This window comes from Homo sapiens, chromosome 1 (genome assembly GCF_000001405.40).
Source record: "Homo sapiens chromosome 1, GRCh38.p14 Primary Assembly".
In the NCBI taxonomy this organism is placed as follows: Eukaryota; Metazoa; Chordata; class Mammalia; order Primates; family Hominidae; genus Homo; species Homo sapiens.
In genome coordinates, this window is record NC_000001.11 from 10,908,981 (window position 1) to 10,932,719 (window position 23,739).

The 23,739-nt window shown below is 49.7% G+C and overlaps 1 long non-coding RNA gene across 1 annotated transcript, besides 4 other annotated features; it reads right to left on the bottom strand.

The window, feature by feature from the left end:
• Positions 3-734: an enhancer, noted in NCBI's record as "H3K4me1 hESC enhancer chr1:10969040-10969771 (GRCh37/hg19 assembly coordinates)". NCBI's record gives its function as "activates a minimal SCP1, AML or CMV promoter by ChIP-STARR-seq in naive H9 embryonic stem cells {active_cell/tissue: H9 hESC(naive)}" and the evidence as "EXISTENCE:reporter gene assay evidence [ECO:0000049][PMID:30033119]".
• Positions 897-1,889: an enhancer, noted in NCBI's record as "H3K4me1 hESC enhancer chr1:10969934-10970926 (GRCh37/hg19 assembly coordinates)". NCBI's record gives its function as "activates a minimal SCP1, AML or CMV promoter by ChIP-STARR-seq in naive H9 embryonic stem cells {active_cell/tissue: H9 hESC(naive)}" and the evidence as "EXISTENCE:reporter gene assay evidence [ECO:0000049][PMID:30033119]".
• Positions 1,106-1,365: a silencer, noted in NCBI's record as "silent region_255". NCBI's record gives its function as "represses an Ori minimal core promoter by ATAC-STARR-seq in GM12878 lymphoblastoid cells {active_cell/tissue: GM12878}" and the evidence as "EXISTENCE:reporter gene assay evidence [ECO:0000049][PMID:35858748]".
• Positions 3,098-3,599: an enhancer, noted in NCBI's record as "H3K4me1 hESC enhancer chr1:10972135-10972636 (GRCh37/hg19 assembly coordinates)". NCBI's record gives its function as "activates a minimal SCP1, AML or CMV promoter by ChIP-STARR-seq in naive H9 embryonic stem cells {active_cell/tissue: H9 hESC(naive)}" and the evidence as "EXISTENCE:reporter gene assay evidence [ECO:0000049][PMID:30033119]".
• LOC105376735 (uncharacterized) lies at positions 3,932-9,753 on the bottom strand. Its single transcript, XR_001737778.2, has 3 exons — positions 9,533-9,753; positions 8,016-8,270; positions 3,932-4,905 (listed from the first exon to the last, which is right to left on the bottom strand). It is a non-coding gene; the product is annotated as an uncharacterized LOC105376735 (long non-coding RNA).
• Positions 9,754-23,739: the final 13,986 nt, after the last annotated feature.

Consider the following 23,739-nt stretch of genomic DNA (forward strand, 5'->3'; position numbering starts at 1 on the left):
AGGCACAGTCCGTGTGTTCCAGGGAAGGATGGATAGGGCCGGGCACAGTGGCTCACGCCTGTAATCCCAGCATTTGGGAGGCTGAGGCAGGCGGATCACTTGAGGTCAGGAGTTCGAGACCAGCCTGGCCAACATGGTGAAACTTCATCTCCACAGAAATAGAAAAATTAGCCAAGTGTGGTGGTGCGTGCCTGTAATCCCAGCTACCTGGGAGGCTGAGGCAAGAGACTCGCTTGAACTCAGGAAGCGGAGGTTGCAGTGAGCTGAAATCATGCCACTGCACTCCAGCAATAGAGAGACTCCGTCTCAAAAAAAAAAAAAAAAAAAAAAAAAGGATGGATGGGGGACCACATTGCCACTTGGCTGTCATAGTGGGCAGGTGGGCCTGACCCATGGAAGTCTGCACACTCCAAGATGGGGCCTGCCCATCTCAGCAGCGTCTCGGCCAAGCACTTCCTAGAACATCAGGGATGACCTCTCCCCCAACCCGTGCCTGCCCCCCAAGCTTCTCCCAGCTGCCCTCTAGTACTCTCTGGGGGGAGTCCCCTCCACTCCCTGACCCTCTGTCCCCTCTCCTTCCTTCATTTCCTGACCCATCGGGCAGCTGCCGGGGAATCCAGGGACAGCTGGGACTTGTCCATCCTCCCTGCCCACTACACTCCTCCAATCACCTGCCCCCTCTGAGGCTCCACAGAACCTCAAGCCAGCTCCTGAGGGCCATGGTTCACTCAGGGGCCACTGATCCTTCTGGGAGGGCTTTCAGGAAGCAGAACTGAAGAAGGGAACCAGGCAGACCCAGGTTTGAGGCCGACTCTGCTTCTTAGTAGCAGTGTGACTTTGGACACAAGGCTTTCACTTCCCAGCGCCTCAGTTTCCTCATCTGTGAAATGGGGACAAGATGGTATTCACCTCGTTGGCCTCTGTGAGGCTTGCAAGGACATGTCAGGGATGTATGACCACCCTTTAGCACAGCTCTCTTAGGGGCTGCCACGCCATTCAAGGAAGGGGACATGGGGACAGGAGGTCCAGTCGGAGCCTGAATGTAGGGACCGGCCTCTCCACCCCCAGCCCTGAGCCCTTCTGGGGCAACTTCCTGCCGTCTCAGGGCACTTGGCGCCACCTAGTGACGGGCGGGGGCACCAGAGGGCCTGGTAGGGGCAGGGTGGGGTGAGCTGGGGGCCCTGGGGCAGGATGGAAACCAGAGAGGGTGAGACTTGGCAAAGGAGCAGGTGTCAGCGGCTTCTCTGGGCCCTGTTTGGGGCCAGTGTGCGCCAAGAGGTCACAGCCCCCTCCCAGCCTGGAGGCCATCCTGGGAGAGCAGAACAGGACAGTGGGGGAGGCGTTGGGGGAAGGGCCACAGGGGTTGCTTCCAGAACACCTGGGCCAGCTCGGGAGTCCCCAGCAAGCCCCGCCAGCAGCAGCTCAGACACCAGCATCCCACCCAGAGAGGGAGACTGAGAGCTGGGCGGGAAGGAGTGGGGGTGGTACCTGCAGCCCCCAAGGGACTCAGCCTCCTGCCCGTTACACCAGCCCCTGCTCGGGACCGGGACGCAGGAAGCCCTGTGTGCTGAGGCTGCATGACCCTGTTCATTCATCCACGGAGTCCCTCCCTTCTACACACATTTGTGAGTCCTCACTGTGCCACAGGACACTGGGGACAGAGAGAACAGGACAAACGCCCACCTCTGTAGGGCTGACATTGTGTGTGACAGTGGGGAGAGGCGAGGAGGGGGCAGAATAGCAAATACTGAAAGTTCAGTCTGTTTAAAGAGCACCAACGGTTAAGGTGCCAAGGGACACCAAGCAGGGGGCAGGCGAGGAGGGAGGGTTAGAGTGGGTGACAAGGGCTAACCCCACCACCACAGCATAACCTGGTGGTTAAGGTCTTGGGCTTTGAGCTGCCAAGCTGCCTGTCTGTAATCTAGCTTTGTGACTTTGGGTGAGCTGTTTAATCTCTCTGTGGCTGTTTCACAATTCCTAAAGTGAAGAATAAGAGCTACTCTCCACTGGGCTTGTCCCCAGGGCTGAATGAGGCCCAGAGCACAGGGAGGACCTGCGGCTTTTAGACTGGCTTCAGCTCCAGGACCCTCTGCTTTGTGGAGTGAAGGCCAGGGCTGCTTCTAAGCCCCTGCCCAACCTTCTTCATCACACACACACTCACATGCACACGCACATTCTCACACACATGCACACACACATTCTCTCACACACACACAATCAGGCACACACACATGCACACCTGTGTGCACACACACTCAGAGCAGAGGAACACAGGGGGGCCGGGGCCCTCTGCGTATCCAGGGAGCAATGCCCAGGCAGTCTCAGGAATCAGGGCTGAGCCTGGACAGATGCGCAGGGGCCGCGTGTTGTCCTTCCTAGGGAGCCATCTGTGTATTGTCACACGTGGTGAGCGTGCAGACGTGAGCCTGTGAACATGACTGTGTGTGTGGCTGCAGGGCTGGGGGCTGCCCATGTGACCACATGCACTCTCATAGGGTCCAGGTTGCCAGGAGCGGGGCTGTGCTCTGTGCCTGCATGTGGGGGTACAGGGTCCTGAGTGGGACTGTAGTGACCACTGATTGGGGACATCATTGCAGAGGAAATGTCACTCAGCCACTCCTCTTGGCCTGTCCCTGGCCCGCCAGAGCTGAGAGTGAGAGGAATTTCCAGCCCACCCACAGGGCAGTCTCAGGGCCCAGCCCAGTGTCCTCTCTGGGATCTTCCCGTGCTTCTAGAGCTCATCCCTGGGGTCTGGGAGTCTGCTCTGACCTGAGCTGGGGTGCAGAGTCCAAAGAGGCCGCATCCAAAATCTTCTGCCATCAAATCACTGGCAGTGCTGAGATGGACTCTTTCTGCAGTGGTATCGGTGCCACCGTTCTGGGCCTGCCCTGCCTGGAAGTCTCAGGAACGTGAGGCTGCAAGATCTCAGGCAGTCTTGAGTTCTAATTTTTGGTACTGCTTCTTCATGGCTGTGTGGCTTTGGACAAGTCACACAGCTTCTCTGAGCCTCATTCTCTACCCTGTAAGACAGCAATAAAGATATTCACTCCTGCAGGATCTCTGGTGGGAACTGACATTACAGGAATGTATGAATGGCCGGGCGCGGTGGCTCACACCTATAATCCCAGCACTTTGGGAGGCCAAGGCGGGGGGATCACCTGAGGTCAGGAGGTCAAGACCAGCCTGGCCAACATGGCAAAACCCCGTCTCTACTAAAAATACAAAAAGTAGCCAGCTGTAGTGGCGCATGCCTGTAATCCCGGCTATGTGGGAGGCTGAAGCAGGAGAATCATTTGAACCCGGGAGGCGGAGGTTGCAGTGAACCAAAATTGCACCACTGCACTCCAGCCTGGATGACAGAGCAAGACGCCTCTCCAAAAAAAAAAAAAAAAAGAATATATGAGGCCTGGCCACTGGCACGGGGCAGGTTCTCATTCATGGTGCCTCTACGGTGCTGATGGCCACATTCATGGAGCTGGAGCCCGTGGCAGTCGCCGTGCGGAGCCCTTTGCGCCACCGCCTTGGTCTGCAAGTCCTCCTGACGGTCCTCTGCAGTGGCTGCTTTACCGCTCTCTCCACTCCTCGGATGAGGAAACTGAGACTTGGTGAAGGGGCATGACTTGCTCGAGTCATGCAGCGAGCAGGTGGGAGAGCAGGACCTGCACTCAGGCGCCTCCGCCGGCCTGGCCCTGCCCTCGGGGCATTTCTGCTCCCAGTAGACCCCTTCATCATGCCCCAGCTCAGCCTCCAGGGCTGGAGTTTGCTGGGTGTCACCAAGTTTCCAACAAAGCCGGGTGGCTAGATGAGACTTCCTTCCGAAACCCCTTCCTTCCCTCTTCCCTGTCTGGTCAGGCTGGGAGGCTGGATGGCGAGGAAGCTGCCTCACCCTCTTGGGGAATCCCTGAGCAAAAAAGCTGAAGGAGCCCCTTCATCCTCATCCAACATTTTTATTTCACAGGTGGCGAAACTGAGGTCTGGAGGCCCAGGTCATTCACAGTCCACATCGGGCCAACAGTGATTCCCTATAATGAGAGCTCAGGGAATGTGGGCAGGGAGGTAGGATCCAAGCTCGAGGGATGGATCCCTGGCTCCCAGGATTAGTGTCCATCCTCCACACCCTCCAGTCGGTCAAACAAGCCCTCTCTAAGCACTTCCAGGTTGGCCAGGACAGGAGATGAAGATGCCTGGGAGAAACAGGACCTGTGGCCTGCCACCCAGGAGCACACAGCCTGGTGAGCAAAGCCAACAAATAGAAATCAGTAAAGTGAGCCCGTGGCCAGGGAAGCAGAGGAGCACTTGCCCTGGCCACAGGAGGTCAAGGGAGGCTTCCTAGAGGAGGAGGTGAGGCCTTCCTGGCTCCCAGCCTGTTTAAGCTAAGTCTTAAGGGATGGATCAAACATGTGTCAGAAGAATGAAGGAAGGGTACTCCAGGCAGGGGAACAGCATGGCCAAAGGTGAAGAATGTGGGAAACACCATAGCATGCTGGGAACTCCAAATATGTCTATGGAGGGAAAGGTGTGTGGGGAAATGGAGGGGTTCCGGGGAGATTGTTCCAGAATCTATGGCTGCATAACACACCACTCCCAAAACTTTGTGGCCTAAAACAGCCATTTGATTATGCCCATGGGTTGTCTGGGTCAGGAATTTGAACAGGGCATGGTGGGAACAGCTTATCTCTGCTGCCTCATTCTAGGGTCTTGTCTGGGAAGACAAAGGCTGGGGGTGACTTGATAACCAGGGAATGGAATCATCCGAAGGCACATTCACTCACACAGCTGACTGTTGGCTGAGATCTCAGCCAGGCTCTTGGCTAGAACCCCATGCACAACCTGTCTGCATGGCCTCACCACGTGGGTTATCCTGGGCTTCCTCACAGCATGGCGGCTGGGTTCCAAAGGCAAGTCCTAGGAGAACAAGACAGAAGTGCATGAAATGTTGGTGATCTAGCCTCGGAAATCAAGTAGTGTCCCTGCAGTCATGTTCCATTGGTTGAGGCATTCACAAAGTTCTGCCCAGATTCCAGGGGAGAGGATACAGAGCCCTCCACTGGAAAGGAGGACCACTGTAAGAAGAACCTATGGATGAGAGACGCTGCTGCGGCATCTTCAGAAAACACAATCGGCTACAAGGACCATGCACGATCTTGATTGCTGGGCTAATGGGGCTGAGTACTCCAGCACATGGGGGAAGAAAAAGAGCCAGAGATAGAGGAAAGAAGCCCAGAAAGCCCTGGGGAGTCACAGCCACCAGTCTAAGGGGCAGAAGCTGGTGTCTGGGATTAGGACTTCTTGGTTGGTCCCCAAAGGATGCCACCCAACACCACCCCTCCTTGCATCCACACAGAGCTGGGGTTCCAGGATCCCCCACAGTCTTAGAAGGCTCTGAGGCCTGGGAGGGATGTCTTTCTGGAGTCCCTTTATCCTGGGCGGAGAACCCCTGGCTCTGGCTGACTTCTCTCTGGTCCTGGACCTTCCCAGGCACAGGTGGGAGGAGGGAGCTGCAGGGGGTGCCTCAGCTCCCCTATCCTTGCTCCTGTACCGCTGCCTCTAAAGTTGGCCCAGCATGGCTTCCAGAAGACACTGAACCTTACAGAGAGCCAGCTCTCCTCTTTGTAGTCTAAAACAGGGACGATGCCCAGGAAGGGAAGAAAGAGGTTTCTTTCCTAGACTGTGCCAGGCTGGGTCCCATATCTCCCCTCCGGGGGTCCTACCACGGGCCTCAGGGCCAGGAAAGGGTGGCCTGCTGGCTGCAGAGCCCCTGCCTTGTCTCTCAGACTCACAGGTCCAGGTGACAGTGCTTAGCAGCCATCAGGGTCTCCCTCCCTCCACCAGGCAGCTTCTATAAGCAAGGGAGCAACTGGGGCAGAGTCTGGCCTTCCAATTTGATGGACCCAGTAACTCATTATTTGCCTAGAAGCCTGTCTCCCCATTTTCACTATGAGCCAGTAAGGGCTGGGACTGCCTGCTTCTTCTCTGTGACCCAGCACAGAGCCTGGCTCATAGTAGGTGCTTATTTAGTATGAGTTGAGTGAATAAACAAATGAATCTTTTAAACTTTTATATTCGGCTGAGCGTGGTGGCTCACGCCTGTAATCCCAGCACTTTGGGAGGCTGAGGCGGGAGGATCATGAGGTCAGGAGATCGAGACCATCCTGGCTAACATGGTGAAAGCCCGTCTCTATTAAAAATACAAAAAATTAGCTGGGCGTGGTGGCGGGCGCCTGTAGTCCCAGCTACTCAGGAGGCTGAAGCAGGAGAATGGCGTGAACCCGGGAGGCAGAGGTTGCAGTGAGCTGAGATCGCGCCACTGCACTCCAGTCTCGGCAACAGAGAAAGACTCCATCTCAAAAAATTAAAAAATAAAATAAATAAATAAATAAATAAATTTCTATATTCCCCTTACATAGCACTTGGCACATAATAGGTGATCAATAGGTGTTTGTTGAATGAACACATGAATGAATGAAGTGGATTTTCTTCTTCTCTGGATCCCTAATGCCCAGCAAAATTCCTGGCACAGAGTAAGTGTTCAGGACTTGTTGAACTGAAATGACAAACTGAAACCCCTGTGAGGCAGCCCTATCTGGTCCAAAGAGGACTTCTGTGACAGGCTGTCACTTAGCCTGGCCACGGAGCCCCCGCCTCAGCATCCCAGCAGGGCTTGGGTTCTGGGTGCTGTGGCCACTCTCTTCCCACCTCCACCCTCCACCACATCCCGGAGTGGGTGGAGCCTCCTCTCCCTGGTACAGGAACAGGTGGGTCAGAAGCAGGAGGGAGAGAAGGGAGGGGCAGACAGATGGATGGACAGACAGACACCACTGCGATGGGCCTTCCCCGTACAGGTGGCACGAGGGCTCCAGTCGGCATCTCCGGAGGCCCCTCCCCTGCTCCCTAGGGGTGTCCCAGTGGAAAGGGCTCCCCTGAAGGCCCCTGCCTGAAGGCCCCTTTTGCTTCCCAACCCTCAGTGCACTCAGTAGACTGGGGAGGGGGGCAAGCAGAGGGGAAGACAGAATTCTTCCTGGCAGTTTAAAGAGTTTTGGCATTTTCACGAGGGCACATGTAATATTTAAATTACTTCCCCCCCGGCACGCCCGCATGCCTGCCTTGGCTTCCCAGGTGAATTTGTAGGCGCTGAAATGGTCTAATTTCCCACACAAGCCATGTCAAATATAATTTGGGTGCAAAGTTGGTAATTATACGTAACATCAGTCTGATGTTAAAAACACTGAAAAATTTAGCAAGAAGAGACGACTGGAGAGACAGAAGTCTGAGGCCCAGCCAGGAAAAGGCAGGCCTGGGCCCCGCCGAAGCCAAAGTCTTTAATTAATAATAGCATGTTTTCAGGGACTCAAAGGACGCAGGTCCCCAACTGTCTGAAACTCCTTTGTCTACCAATTACCAGCTTTTGGGGAGGGGAGAGCCAGGGAGGAAGTGGGCGGGGGACACCCAGATCTTGGCGGAGAACTGCTGGGGTTTGGGTGGGGGCTGCAGCCCACCTGTGGGCCAGCGTCCTGTGGCCAGGCAACCCCACCCTGCTCCTCTGTCACCAGAGACCAACCCTGATGGGCCCAGGGTCAGGGAGGAGGGGCTCATCCCCCTTGAGTCTGGGTCAATTGTGAGGTGGGGGTGAGCAACGTTGGACTAGAGGCCAAGCAGTTCCAGAGGTTCAGAGAGTCTGAAAACTGTGTCCAGGACCCTCTTGATTTAGGTGATGCCTTTTTCATCTCTTTTCAAAGAACTCAATCAATCTTTTTGGGAAGACAGGAACCACATATTTCTTGTGAAGACAAGGACACGCCCTTGTGTCCCTGGCACCTGGCACATAGTAGGTGCTCAACAAACATTTGTTAAATGAATGCACTGTGCAAAACAAGGTCTAATCTGTCCTCCCCTGCCCTCTGTAGATGGAGTAAGACCCTCCTCCACCACCACCGCCTGAGGAACAGCACAGTAGAGGTCAGAAAGGTTAAGGGGCAGGCACAGAGCCTGGAGTAGAACCATGATTCCATACTTACCGGTTACCAAAACTCTGCCTCAGTTTCCTTGTCTGTAAAACGGGCACAGGAATAGATCTACCTCCTAGGATCGCTGTGACTTCTGAGTGGGAGACTTCGCAGGAAGCACTCTGAACAGTCCCCGGCAGGTAGCTCGTGTTTTGCTCCAGGAGGTGGATAAGGTGCAGCTTTGCAGAACAGCTCCCCAGATGGGGTTTCCGGAGGCTGTGGGAGGAGGGACAAGGAGAGAACAAGCAGCCGGCAGGGCAGAGGAACCTGGAGTGAAGAAACACATGTCCAATGGTTGCTTTAGTAAAGCTTCTGCTGTTGGGGGTGTGAAATGAAACTTCTTCCTTGATTCTCCAAGAAACCGTCCACAAAGGCTAGTTGTGGTGGCTCACGCCTGTAATCCCAGCATTTTGGGAGATGAAGGCAGGTGAATCGCTTGAGCCTAGGAGTTTGAGACCACCCTGGGCAACATGGCAAAACCCTGTTTTGTACAAAAAAATACAAAAATTAGCCGGGTGTGGTGGTGCACACCTGTAGTCCCAGCTACTCTGGAGACTGAGGTGGGAGGATTGCTTGAGCCTGAGATGAGGAAGTTCCAGTAAGCCGTGATTGTGGCGCTGTACTCCAGCCTGGGTGACACAGTGAGACCCTCTCAAGAAGAAAGAGAGGAAATAGAAGAGAGAAAGAAAAAAAGAAAGGAAGGAAGGAAGGAGAAGAAAAAAGGAAAGAAAAGAAACAGAAAGAAAGGAAAGAAAGAAAAAAGAAAGGAAGGAAGGAAGGAAGAAAGAAGGAAAAAGAAAGAAAGAAAATTGTCAACAAAATCTCCTCTTCTCTCTTGTGCTCACGTTATGGAATCATGTCTATTTGGGATGTGTGGCTTCCAGGCGGGCAAGAGCAGGCACAGATGAGACCGGCGAGGTGGGTACTATCATGTTTTGTGTATTGTTGATGTGAAAGCGAGCCTCAGAGAGGTTCAGTGGTGTGCCCACACTTCACACTTTAGCACAGCGGGTTTATCTTCAGACAACAGGCTCTTAACCCTCTGTGTTCCACTGGCAGATTCTGCCAAACAGTAACAAAAACAGTAGCTGGCATGAAGCACTTATTGAGAGCCAGCTGCCACACTAAAGCCCTTCATGTGGTTTAACCCATTTCATCTTCTCAACAGCCCTGGAGCAAGGGGTGGTACTATTTCCTATCCCCGTTTTACAGATGAGGAAGCTGTGGCCCAGTGGGGTTAAATCACTTTCCCCAGATCACAGGACATAGGAAGTGGAACAAAACCCAGGCTGGACCCCCAGTGCCCTTAACTGTGACGAGATCACCTCCATCCAACCTTGCCCTTACCCTGCACCCCTGCCCCAGCTAAACCTCCACACTAGGGTTCTGAGCCCTGCACACTGGAGGCATCTGAGGACCTTTGGAACCACTGATGCCCCCCTGTGAAGCACTGTAAGTGCTGCCTGGGTGTTGAGATTTTTTAGCTCCCAGGTGATTCTAGGGTTGGGAGTTTAGAACATTAAACTTACCCTGCTTCAGCTCAGTTCTCCAACTGCGTCTCCAACTGCAATGTGCATATGAGTCTCCCGGGAATCTTGTTAATGTTCAGGCTTTGATGCAGTCGGTCTGGGTGGGTCGAGAGCCTGGGATTCTGCATTTCTGACAAGCTTCTAGGTAATGCTGCTGCTGCTGTGGTCCAAGAGCCACACTTTGAGAAGCGAGGCTCCACATCAAGGGCTCTTGAGTTTGCCTGTACATCAGAATCTCCCATGGAATTTGAAAAACCACAGATGCCTGGGTTCCAGCCCAGAGATTCTGATGTCATGACCATAGAAGGCTGGTGGTTTTCAGGCCCAGCTGCACATTCAACCAGTTGGGGGCTTTGAAAAATTACCAATGCCCAGGCCACATTGCAGACCCTTGAGAATCTCTGGGGTGGCACTGGAGCCCCTGTATTTTTTTTTTTTTTTTTTTTTTGAGACAGAGTCTCGCTCTGTCGCCCAGGCTGGAGTGCACTGGCACGATCTCAGCTAACTGTAAGCTCCGCCTCCTGGGCTCACGCCATTCTCCTGCCTCAGCCTCCCGAGTAGCTGGGACTACAGGTACCCGCCACCACACCTGGCTAATTTTTTTGTATTTTTAGTAGACACAGGGTTTCACCATGTTAGCCAGGATGGTCTCGATCTCCTGACCTCGTGATCCGCCCGCCTTGGCCTCCCAAAGTGCTGGGATTACAGGCGTGAGCCACTGCGCCCGGCTGAGCCCCTGTATTTTTTAAAGTACTCCTGGTGATTCTAATGGGCAACAAGGGTTGAGAACTACAGTTTTGAGGTGCGTCTCACATCGTTCTTGTAGCTAGATCCCATAAAATCCAAGCCTTGGTTGCTTCTTCAAAGGGTTCAGATTATTGGGTCAGGGGCGAAACCCAGGAACCAGCATTCTTTTTTTTTTTTTTTTTTTTGAGACGGAGTCTCTGTTGTCCAAGCTGGAGTGCAGTGGCACGATCTTGGCTCAGTGCAACCTCCGGCTCCCGGGTTTAAGCACTTCTCCTACTTCAGCCTCTCATGTAGCTGAGACTACAGGTGCCCACCACCCACCACGCCTGGCTAATTTTGGTATTTTTAGTAGAGACGGGGTTTCACCCTGTCAACCAGGCTGGTCTCGAACTCCTGACCTCAAGTGATCCGCCCACCTCAGCCACCACACCCAGCCTGCCAGCATTCTTTTTTTTTTTTTTTTTTTTTTTTTGAGACAGAGTTTCACTCTTGTTGCCCAGGCTGGAGTGCAATGGCACAATCTTGGTACACTGTAACCTCCGCCTCCTGGGTTCAAGCGATTCTCCTGCCCCAGCCTCCCGAGTAGCCAGGATTACAGGCATGCACCACCACGCTAGGCTAATTTTGTATTTTTAGTGGAGATGGGGTTTCACCAGGTTGGTTAGGCTGGTCTCGAACTCCTGACCCCAGGTGATCCACCTGCCTTGGCCTCCCAAAGTGCTGGGATTACAGGCGTGAGCCGCCGCACCCGGCCCTGCCGGCGTTCCTAACACACTTCCCAGGGGATGATGAGGCAGTGGGCCTCAGGCTATAGCTCAGGAAGAGCTCCTCTGTTTCCTCATCCTCAGCCCCCTAAACCTGCACCATCCACCCAGCACACACCCCCCACAGCAAGTGGGGCTATTCACACACCTCCCCACAGCCAATGGGGCTATTATGGGATACCCACGTGGGAGAAGAAGGACGTGGAGGAAAGACCGACAAGGGGCTGGCCCAGGCCACAGCTACCTGTCGCCATTGGTGGCTGAGCAGGGCTCAGAGGTCATCTTTGCCCTGGGACAGGCAGGGAGGCAGGACCGTGCTTCCAAGAAAGGCAGTAGGGGAACAGCAACTGGGAACCAGACCAGAGGTCTCCCGTCTAGCCAGTTCCTCACACAGGCTCCCTGGGCCAACCACCCAGGCAAGTCAGGACAACACCTCCCCTCCATGACTCCGTTTCCTTATTTCGAGAATAAAGAGAATAATCTCGCCCCACCTCACCTTGTATGCATTATTGTGTATTTTTTTTTTTTTTACTTTTAGATTAAAGTAGTAACTGCTCAAGGCAAAGAATTCAAACAGATCAGAAGCATGTGAAGTGAAGTGTCTTTTAGAGATCCACTGATAATAGTTTCTTGTGTGTGGTTCCAGACAATTTTTTTTTTGGCGTGTACAAACATGCATCTGTATATACTTTTAAAAAAATAGGATAGCATATATGATTGCAATTTGTTGTTTAATTTAGTAATGTATCATGGGTATCCTTCCACAGAAGTCCGTAATGATCTATCTCATTCTATTTGAAGTCTGTGTAATATTCCACAGTATGGAGAGACCATATTTTATTTAGCCATTCTCCTATGGATAGACATTCCGGTAGGTTTTCATTTTTTTCCTGCAATAGACAACGATTCAATGAACACTCTTATTCTGAATACTTCAGCAAGTATATACAGAGGTAAATTCTTGGAAGTGGCTTTGAACCTCACCCCCGACTTTCCATCTTGTTTTATGAGAGATTGACAGGTTGGAGTTCTGCAATATATATGGATCTTCAATGAGAAGTGACAAGCTGATGACAATCAGGGCTGCCACGGATTTTGCACCACAGTGAGAAGGATTTCAGGTAGAAACTGATGAACACCACCTGCCTCATTTCCATGATCACCACCAGCACTAACCCCAGCATCAACTGTAACCTCTAACTCACACGACTGTTCCCTCCAACCTCACCACCCGCACTGGTGCCATCCCCATAACCACCAACAGCACCATTTCCAGAGCAGTCGGTGTTCTCAGTTGCAAACAACAGAAGCCATCCTGGTTTAAGTGGAAAGGTATTATAAAAGGGTATTAGGGGCCGGGCGCGGTCGCTCATGCCTGTAATCCCAACACTTTGGGAGGCTGAGGCGGGCGGATCACGAGGTCAGGAGATCGAGACCATCCTGACTAACATGGTGAAACCCTGTCTCTACTAAAAATACAAAAAATTAGCCAGGCATGGTGGTGGGCGCCTGTAGTCCCAGCTACTCGGGAGGCTGAGGCAGGAGAACGGCGTGAATCTGGGAGGTGGAGCTTGCGGTGAGCCGAGATCACGCCACTGCACTCCAGCCTGGGCAACAGAGCGAGACTCCATCTCAAAAAAAAAAAGGGGGTATTAGGCATATACCTAATATACCAATAGGTATACCTAACATACCACTATACTAATATGGTATATTAGGTATATGCCTGGAAAAAAATATAGAAGAAATTCTGTAAGAGCTTGGGTTAGGCAAAGGTTTCTTAGAACACAAAAGCACAGACCATAAAAGAAAAAAAATTGATAAATGTAATGTCATCAAGATGGAAAAGTTCTGCTCTTTGAAGACACTGGTAAGAAAAAGAAAATGCAAGTCACAGATTGGGAGAAAAACATTTACCAAACACATATCTGATAAGAGACTGGTAACCTATATATAAAGAATTCTCAAAACTCAAAAATAAGAAAAGAACCCAATAAAAATATGGTCTAGCCTAATAAAAATATGGGCTAACAATGTAAATAGACACTTCACCAAAGAAAATGTATGATAGAAAATAAGCACATGAAAAGACACTCAGGCCAGGCGCGGTGGCTCACGCCTGTAATCCCAGCACTTTGGGAAGCCAAGGCGGGTGGATCACCTGAGGTCGGGAGTTTGAGACCAGCCTGACCAACATGGAGAAACCTCGTCTTTACTAAAACTACAAAAAATTAGTTGGGCATGGTGGCACATGCCTGTAATCCCAGCTAATCAGGGGGCTGAGGCAGGAGAATCACTTGAACCCGGGAGGCGGATGTTGCAGTGAGCCGAGATCATAGCATTGCACTCCAGCCTGGGCAACAAGAGCAAAACTCCATCTCAGAAAAAAAAGAAAAGAAAAGAAAAAAAAAAAGATACTCAACATCATTAGTCATTAGGAAAATGAAAATAAAGCCACAGTGAGATACCACTACACACCTATTGGAATGGTTCAAATGAAAACTGCAGGGTCGGGCGCAGTGACTCATGCCTGTAATCCCAGCACCTTGGGAGGCCAAGGCAGGCGGATCACCTGAGGTCAGGAGTTCAAGACCAGCCTGGCCAACATGGTGACACCCCATCTCTATTAAAAATACAAAAATTAGCTGGGCGCAGTGGGGTGGCATGTGCCTGTAATCCCAGCTACTTGGGAGGCTGAGGCAAGAGAATCACTTGAACCCAGGAGGTGGAGCTGCAGTGAGCCAAAATTGTGCCACTGCACTCCAGCCTGGGTGACAGAATGAGACTCCGTTTAAAAAAAAAATGTAGATAATAACAAATGCTGGCAAGGACATGAAGCATGCACTGCCAGCTGGAACTCTCATACATGGCTGGTGGGGGTGCCAAATGGTGCAGCCACTTGGGAAAACTGTTTGGCAGTTTCTTACAAAGTTACACATACATTTAAATGGAATCATATCATATGTGACCTTTTATGTCTGGCTTCTTTCACTTAGCATCATGTGTTCAAGGTTCATCCAAGTTGCAGCATCTATCAATACTTCATTCCTTTTTATGGCTGGATAATATTCCATTATATGAATATACCACAATTTGTTTATCCATTCATCCACTGATGGACATTTGGGTTGTTTGCAGTCTTCGACTATATGAATAACACTGCTACAAACACTCACCAACAAGTTTCTGTGTGGACATGTCCTCTTTTCTCTTGGGTATATGCCTAGTAATGAAATTGCTAAGTCATATGGTAATTCTATGTTTCACTTTTTGAGTTAAGCAGCCAGTCTCCCGTGGCTGCTACAGCGCCATGTACATTCCTATGAGCAATGGATGAGGGTTCCTATTTCTCCACATAGTCAACACTAATTTTCCTTTTAAAGAGATTATAGTCATCCTAGTGAATATGAAATGGTATCTCACTATTGGTTTTTGTTTTTGTTTTTGAGACAGTCTCACTCTGTCACCCAGGCTGTAGTGCAGTGGCAAGATCTCAGCTCACGGCAACCTCTGCTTCCTGGGCTCAAGTGATCCTCTCACCTCAGCCTCCTGAGTAGCCAGGACTACAGGTGTGTGCCACTATGCCCGGCTAATTTTTCTATCTTTTTTGGTAGAGACGGTGTTTCACCATGTTGCCCAGGCTGGTCTCACACTTTTGGGCTCAAGCAATTCACCCACTTTGGCCTCCCAAAATTCTAGAATTACAGGAGTGAGCCACACCTGGCCTCACTATTGTTTTGACTTGCATTTACTTAAAGACCAGTGATGTTGAATATTTTTTCATGTGCTTTTGGCCGTTTGTATATCTTTTTTGGAGAAATATCTATTCAATTATGCCCATTTTAAAATTGCATTGTGTATCATTTTGTTGTTGAGCTGTAAGAGTTATTTAGATATTCTGGATATTCAATCTCAATTCTTTATTTTTTTTTTAAAGTCAGGCTCTTGTTCTGTAACTCAGGCTGGAGTGCAGTGGCACAATCATGGCTCACTGCAGCCTTGAATTCCTGGGCCCAAGCGATCCTCCCACCTCAGCCTCATGAGTAGCTAGGACTACAGGCACACACCACCATGCCTAATTTTATTTTATTTTTATTTTTTGTAGAGACAGGGTCTTGCTACGTTGCCCAGGCTGGTCTCAAACTCCTGCCCTCAAGCGATCCTTCTGCCTTGGTCTCTCAAAGCACTGGGATTACAGGGATGGGCCACTACCCAGCTTGGACTCTCAATTCTGTTCCAATGGTTTACATGTTTATCTTTATGCCAGTACCACACTGTTTTGATTACTGTTGCTTTGTAGTAAGTTTCGAAATCTGGAAATGTAATCCTTTGTTATGGGCTGAATTGTGTCTCCACCCCCAAAATTCTTATGTTGAAGTTCTAGCTCCCAGTATACCTCAAAATGTGACTGTATTTGGAGATAAAGTCTTTAGAGAGGTAACTGAGTTAAAATGATTACATTATGGTGGGACCTAGGCCAATAGGAGTGGTGTCCTTACAAGAAGAGGAAATTGAATATAGACACGCACAGATAGAAGACCATGTGAAGACACAGAGAGAAGAGAGCCATTTGCAAGCCAAGGAGAGAGGCCTCGAAAGAAACCAAAACTGCCTGACACCTTGATCTTGGACTTCAACCTACAAAATTGTGAGAAAATACATTCTATTGTTTAAGTTGCCCAGTCTGTGTTACTTTGTTATGGCAGCCCAAGCAAACTAGTATATTCCTCCAATGTTTCTTGTTTTGACTATTTGGGGCCTCTTGAAATTCCATATGAATTTAAGGGTCAGCTTTTTTATTTTTGCCCCCAAAAGACCATTGGAATTTTAATAGGGATTGCACTAGAATCTGTAGATTGCTTTGAAGAGAATAGCCATCTTAGCAACACTAAGTTTTCCAATCTGTGAACATGGGATGTCTTTCCATTTAATCAAGTCTTTAGTGTTTTTCAGCAATGTTTTGTAGTTTTCGGTGTACAAGTTTTTCAACTCCTAGGTTAAATTTTTTTCCTAGGTATTTGGATGCTGTTGTAAACAGAATTGTTTTCTTTATTTCCTTTTCAGTTTGCTCATTCCTGGTGTATAGAAACACAACTGATATTTGTGTGTTGATCTTGTCTCCTGCAACTTTGCTGAATTTATAGCCCATAACTTACAAATGATAAATTGTAAATTTCAGGCTGGGTACAGCTGCTCATGCCTGTAATCCCAGCACTTTGGGAGGCCAAGGCAGGAGGATCGCTTGAGGTCAGGAGCTCGAGATCAGCCTGGCCAATATGATGAAACCCCGTCTCTACTAAAAATACAAAAATTGGCCAGGCATAGCGGTGCACACCTGTAATGCCAGCTACTCGGGAGGCTAAGGCAGGAGAATTGCTTGAACCTAGGAGGCGAAGGTTGCAGGGAGCTGAGATCTTACCACTGCACTCCAGCCTGGGTGACAGAGTGAGACTGTTTCAAAAAAAAAAGTAAACTTCATATAGCCAACTGATTCTCACAGAGTGCTTCAATTTTGCTAAACTCATGTAACTGGAACCAATCTGTGGCTGCAATTGACAAACAAGTGCAGATCCAATGTGAATGTTGGTTGATATTTTACTTAACATTAAAGAGTAACAATTAAAACCACGGGGGCTGGGAGCGGTGGCTCATGCCTGTAATCCCAGCACTTTGGGAGGCCGAGGTGGTTGGATTCCTTGAGCTCAGGAGTTTGAGACCAGCCTGGGCAACATGGCAAAACCCCATCTCTACAAAAAATAAAAAACTTAGCCAGGTGTGGTGGCATGTGCTTGTTGTCCCAGCTACTTGGCAGGCCAAGGTGGGAGGATCACCTGAGGGTCATGGCTGCTGTGAGCTGTGATTGTGCCACTGCACTCCAGCCTGGGCAACAGAGTGAGACCCTGTCTCAAAAAAACCCATTAAAACCACCTACCCGGCCGGGTGCGGTGGTTCATGCTTGTAATCCCAGCATTCTGGCAGGCTGAGGTGGGCGGATCACGAGGTCAGGAGTTTGAGACCAGCCTGGCCAACACAGTGAAACCCCATCTCTACTAAAAATACAAAAATTAGCTGGGCGTGGTGGCAGGTGCCTGTAATCCCAGCTACTCAGGAGGCTGAGGCAGGAGAATCACTTGAACCTGGGAGGCAGAGGTTGCAGTGAGCCAAGATCATGCCACTGCACTCCAAACAAACAAACAAACAAATAAAAACACCTACCCTCACATACACCTTGGACACTGAAGACTGAAGCTATCTCCCTTCAAACAAATGACAGTGTACAAAAAGACTGTATTATTCCATTGTCTCCGTGCTATTCTGGGAGACTCTTGCCCACACAAATGACTTGATTGTGCATTAGAGAAACTTCCCATAAGACCCACCAATTCCTCAGTGGGAAGTATTGACAGGCAGCACCCTGAGATTCTTAGACTGCCCTGTGTCACAGACCCTCACCTTGCTGCCTCCACCAATCCTGGACTGTTTGGTTGTGACCCTAACACAATCCTGTTTTTTGTTGTTGTTGTTTTGTTTTTGAGACAGAGTCTCGCTCTGTCACCCAGGCTAGAGTGCAGCAGTGCCTCAGCCTCCTGAGTAGCTGGGACTACAGCCCAACCCCCAACCATGCCCGGCTAATTTTTGTATTTTTAGTAGAGACGGGGTTTCACCATGTTGGCCAGGCTGGTCTTGAACTCCTGACCTCAAGTGATCCACCAGCCTCGGCCACCCAAAGTGCTGGGATTACAGGTGTGAGCCACCGCGCCCAGCTCCTAACACAATCCTAATCAAACTCCTGCATGGAAAGACCCTCCTTAAACCAAACTTCCAGTTCTAATGGATTCCGACTTTGCCTTCCCACTTCGAAATAGTGACAAAGCCCTGTCCATGTGATGTTCTCCCTTCCTATAGTAAGCAATAAACCCAGCTTTGTCTTATCAACAGGTTGCACTGGCGGTATTTGGGGAGCCATCATTTGACAAGAGTAAGACAAAAATAAAACAACAAAGATATATGTCAGAACTTCATTAGTTCATCAATGATGTGACTTCTTTGCCGAATCAGATCATAGTTTTTAAATACTGAAAGAATGTTTCCTTAATTTTTTGTGTTATTCTCAATGTAATGGCTACAGACATACCACACTTATAAGTTTAATCTGTATTATCTGCCTTTTCTCTGCTACTTTCTCATGTCTAGACAATCAGCAAAACAATAAAATCAGACTTTGATTTGTAGCATTTGCCAATGTCTCTGATATAAATACTCCAACCATGGCCAATTTTAAGCTGCTCATGTGGGGTCACTGAATTCAGATTGAGAAGAGCTGTACATTAGCACGTCATTAGATAGTATTTACACCATATAGATACAATGGACATAAATAATCTCAGGTAGGTGCAGTGACTCATGCCTATAATCTTAACACTTTAGGAGGCTGAGGTGGGAGGATTGCTTGAGGCCAGAAGTTCAAGACCAGTGTGGTCAACACAGCAAGACTCTCATCTCTTACAATAATAATAATAATAATAATAATAATAATATATAAATAAATAATCTCAAGGGCATCTAAACAGTAAAATGTAGCAAAATAATTAGGAGGTGGTAAGTTTATTACCTTTGTTTTATTTATTTATTTTATTTATTGAGACAGGGTCTTACTCTGTCACCCAGGCTGGAGTGCAATGGTGCAATCATGGCTCACTGCAGCCTCAACCTCCCAGGCTCAACTGATCCTCCCACCTCAGCCTCCCAAGTAGCTAAGAGCACAGATGAGTACCACCACGCCTGGCTATCATTTGTATTTTTAGTAGAGATGGTTCTACCATGTTTCCCAGACTGGCCTCGAACTCCTGGGCTCAAGCAATCCGCCCACCTTGGCCTCCCAAAGTGCTGAGATTACATGCATGAGCCACCATGCCTGGCCTTATTACCTTTGTTTTAATAAAATTTTTTGTTAGTTTAAATAATTTTTTTTTTTTGAGACAGAGTCTTGCTCTGTCGCCCAGGCTGGAGTGCAGTGGCGCGATCTTGGCTCACTGCAAGCTCCGCCTCCCAGGTTCATGCCATTCTCCTGCCTCAGCCTCCCGAGTAGCTGGGATTACAGGCGCCCGCCACCACGCCCTGCTCATTTTTTTTTTGTATATTTTTAGTAGAGACGGGGTTTCACCGTGTTAGCCAGGATGGTCTCGATCTCCTGACCTCGTGATCCGCCCGCCTCGGCCTCCCAAAGTGCTGGGATTACAAGTGTGAGCCACCACGCCCAGCCTAGTTTATATAATTTAATGTTTAATGATAACTATGTTTAAGAAAAAGCTTGCAAAATTCCTCAAAACCTAACAACTGGCTCCCATGAACTGATACTAACCAGCTCTAGCACACCACTGGGCTTGACTACCGAGCAGCACTTAGAGATTTTGGGAGTTCTGTATCTTGATTGTGGTGGTAGCTACATGACCGTGTAAATTTGTTAAGGTATGTAGAACTATATGCATAAAAGAAGTAAATTCTACTATGTGTAAATATTACTTCAATTCACCTGAAAAATGGGGCACTAGGTAACTTACGAACTCTCTAGAGGTGCCACAGGATCAGACTTGGAGGCCAGACTAGCACCCAGGGATGCTCTGGAAGAGTGACTTCAGCTGCTGTTGCTGAGCACAGGGATGGCGGTTGAAGCCACTCTAAGTTGTCAGGAATGCCCCTGCCAGGACACCACCACTGCTGCCTCTGAAATCTGGCTGTCCCATTCCTAAGCTCCATCAGCACAGAGCCTGCCCACACCTCTTCCAAATAGAAATCCTGATTGGTGGAGACCAGGTCACATGGGCACACTCTAGCTGCAAGGGAGGCTGGCAAAGTGAATTTCTGACTTCTACCTTGGGGGAGCAGGACTCCTACTGGGACAGATGCCTCCACTCTAAAAAGAGGGTTCACAGGGCGTTGGGTAGCCCATGAGCATGAAAACTGTTCCCTACAATGACCACGAGTTACGGTCACCAGCACATCACCACTGCACCAGCATTGTCATGGTTATTGTCAGGAAGCCTGGCTCTGGCCCTTCTGTGTTCAGGGGCACTGTTAGACACCCACATGGGACAGGTGTGGGGTGGGCCCCTTCCCGGAGGAGCATACTTTCAGGTTGGAAGGCCCAGTCACCCACCCTGCAGGACAGTGTATGCTCAGCTGCTGTCAGGGAAAATGAGACCAAACATGGGAGGGTGAACCCAAGAGAGAGAGTGTGTTCCAGGCATTGGAGAGGAACAGGGAGGCTTTCCAGAGAAGGCAGTATTTCAGCTGAGCTTTAAAAGGTGCCAAAAACTGGCCAGGTGCAGTGGCTCACGCCTGTAATCCCAACAGTTTGGGAGGCTGAGGCGGGTGGATCATTTGAGGCCAAGAGTTCCAGACCAGCCTGGCCAACACGGTAAAACCTCATCTCTACTAAACGCACAAAAATCAGCCAGGCGTGGTGGGGAGCATCTGTAATCCCAGATACTTGGGAGGCTGAGGCAGGAGAATTGCTTGCACCTGGGAGGCGGAGGTTGCAGTGAGCTGAGATGGTGCCACTGCCCTCCAGCCTGGACGACAGAATGAGACTCTGTCTCAAAAAAAAAAAGGGTGGGGCCGGGGCAGGCACGGTGGCTCATACCTGTAATCCTAGCACTTTGGGAGGCCAAGGTGGGTGGATCACCTGAGGTCAGGAATTTGACACCAGCCTGGCCAACATAGTGAAACCCCATCTCTACTAAAAAAAAATACAAAAAATTAGCCGGGCATTGTGGCAGTGCCTGTAATCCCAGCTACTCGGGAGTCTGAGACAGGAGAATCACTTGAACCCGGGAGGTGGAGGTTGCAGTGAGCAGAGATCGTGCCACTGCACTCCAGCCTGGGCAATAAGAGCGAAACTCCGTCTCAAAAAAAAAAAAAAAAAAAAAAGGCCAGGCACGGTGGCTCAGGCCTATAATCCTAGCACTTGAGAGGCCGAGGCAGGAGGATCACAAGGTCAGGAGATCCAGACCATCCCGGCTAACACAGTGAAACCCCATCTCTACTAAAAATACAAAAAATTAGCCGGGTGTGGTGGCGGGCGCCTGTAGTCCCAGCTACTCGGGAGGCTGAGGCAGGAGAATGGTGTGAACCCGGGAGGCGGAGCTTGCACTGAGCTGAGATCGTGCCACTGCACTCCAGCCTGGGTGACAGAGAGAGACTCCGACTTAAAAAAAAAAATAGCCAACAGAAGGTGGCAAAAACCTAAGACAAGGGCGGCAGCAGCAGCAGAAGGGACCTCAAGAGGAAAGCCTGTGTGTCTTGGGGCAGGAATTATGCTTGCCACGCTAGGGCACTTGGCTGGTATGGAAATTCAGGCCGTGTTTCTCAACATTCTTGACCGTGACTTCAGAGTAAGAATATCTTTTGGGCCAGACAGGGTGGCTCATATCTATAATCCCAACACGTTGGGAGACTGAAGCAGGAGGATCCCTTGAGACCAGGAATTTGAGACTAGCCTGGGCAACATAGTAAGACCCTGTTACCACAAAACATTTTTTTTTTTTGAGACGGAGTCTTGCTCTGTTGCCCAGGCTGGAGTGCAGTGGCACAACCGATCTCAGCTCACTGCAACCTCCGCCTCCCGGGTTCAAAAAATTCTCCTGCCTCAGCCTCCTGAGTAGCTGGGACTGCAGGCGCGTGCCACCACGCTCAGCTAATTTTTTGTATTTTTAATAGAGACAGGGTTTCACTGTGTTCGCTAGGATGGTCTCGAAATCCTGATCTTGTGAACCATCCACCTCAGCCTCCCAAAGTGCTGGGATTACAGGCGTGAGCCACCACGCCCGGCCTACAAAACACTTTTAAAAATTAGCTCGACATGGTAGCACATGCCTGTAGTCCCAGCTACTTGGGAGGTTAAGGGCAGGAGGATCGCTTGAGCCCAGAAGTTCGAGACTGCAGTCAGCTGTGATAATGTCACTGCACCTCAGCCTGAGTGACAGAATGAGACTCTTTTCAAAAAAAAATGTTTTAATTAAAATATTTAGAAGGGAATTCTGACATATGCTACAACAGGCATGAACCTTGAAGACATTATGCTATAAGGGAACTAAGTCAAACACAAAAGGCAAAAGAACGTAGGATTCTACCTACATGAGGACCTCAGAGTGGTCAGATTCACAGAGACTGATGTGGTTTGGATGTTTGTCTTCTCCAAATCTCATGTTGAAATATAATCCCCAATGTTGGAGGTAGGGCTGGTGGGAGGTGTTTGGATCATGGTGCGGGATCCCTCACGAATGTCCTGGTGCCATCCTCATGGATTAGTGAGTTCTCCCTCTCAGTTCATGCAAGATCTGGTTGTTTAAAAGAGCATGAGGCCAGGGCCGTTGGCTCACGCCAGTAACCCCAACACTTTGGGAGGCCAAGGCGGGCGGATCACCTGAGGACAGGAGTTTGAGACCAGCTTGCCAACACGGCGAAACCCCATCTCTACTAAAAATACAAAAATTAGCCAGGTGTGGTGGCACATGCTTGTAATCCCAGCTACTCGGGAGGTTGAGGCACGAGAATCACTTGGACCCGGGAGGTAGAGGTTGCAGTGAGTGAGATCGCGCCACTGCACTCCAGCCTGGGAGACAGAGTGAGAATCTGTCTTGACAGCAACAACAAAAAAAGACCATGAGGCTGGGCATGGTGGCTCACATCTGTAATCCCAGGACTTTGGGAGGCCAAGGCGGGTGGATCACTTGAGGCCAGGAGTTTGAGACCAGCCTGGCCAACATGGACAAACCCTGTCTATACTAAAAATACAAAAATTAGCTGGGCGTGGTGGTGCATGCCTGTAATCCCAGCTACTTGGGAGGCAGAGGTGGGAGGAGGGCTTCAACCTGGGAGGTGGAGGTTGCAGTGAGCCAAGATTGCACCACTGCACTCCAGCCTGGGTGACAGATAGAGACTCCATCTCAAAAATAAATAAATAAATAAAAAGAGCATGCTACCTCTCCCCACCTCTTGCTCCTGCTCTCGACAAGTGACACGCCTGCTTCCTTTTCACCTTGCACCATGATTGGAAGTTTCCTCCGGCCTCATCAGGAGCAGAGGCTGGAGCCATGCTTGCACAGCCTGTAGAACTGTGAGCCAATTAAACCTCTTTTCTTTACAACTTACCCAGCCTCAGGTATTTCTTTGTAGCAATACACAAGCAGACTAATACAGAGACAGAAAGTAAGGTGGTGATTACCAGAAGCTGCGGGCAGGGGGGAATAGGAAGTTAGTGTTTAACGGGTGCAGAGTTTCAGTTGGGAGAGATAAAAAAGTTCTAGAAGTGGATGGTGGCAGTGGTTAACTAACCACATGAATGTACTTAGTGCCACTGAACCCGTGCACTCGTACACTAAAAACAGCTAAGATCAGCTGGGTGCAGTGGTTTAGGCCTGTAATCCCAGCACCTGGGGAGGCTGAGACAGGAGGATCGCTTGAGGCCAGAAGTTTGAGACCTGGGCAATCTAGTGAGACCCTGTCTCTACCAAAAAAAAAAAACGGTTAAGATTGTAAATTTTATGTTATGTTAATATTTATAATTATATAAATATTATATAATAGCATATAATATTTATATATATATATATATATTTTTTTTTTTGAGATGGAGGCTCGCTGTGTCGCCCAGGCTGGAGTGCAGTGGCACGATCTCGGCTCACTGCAAGCTCC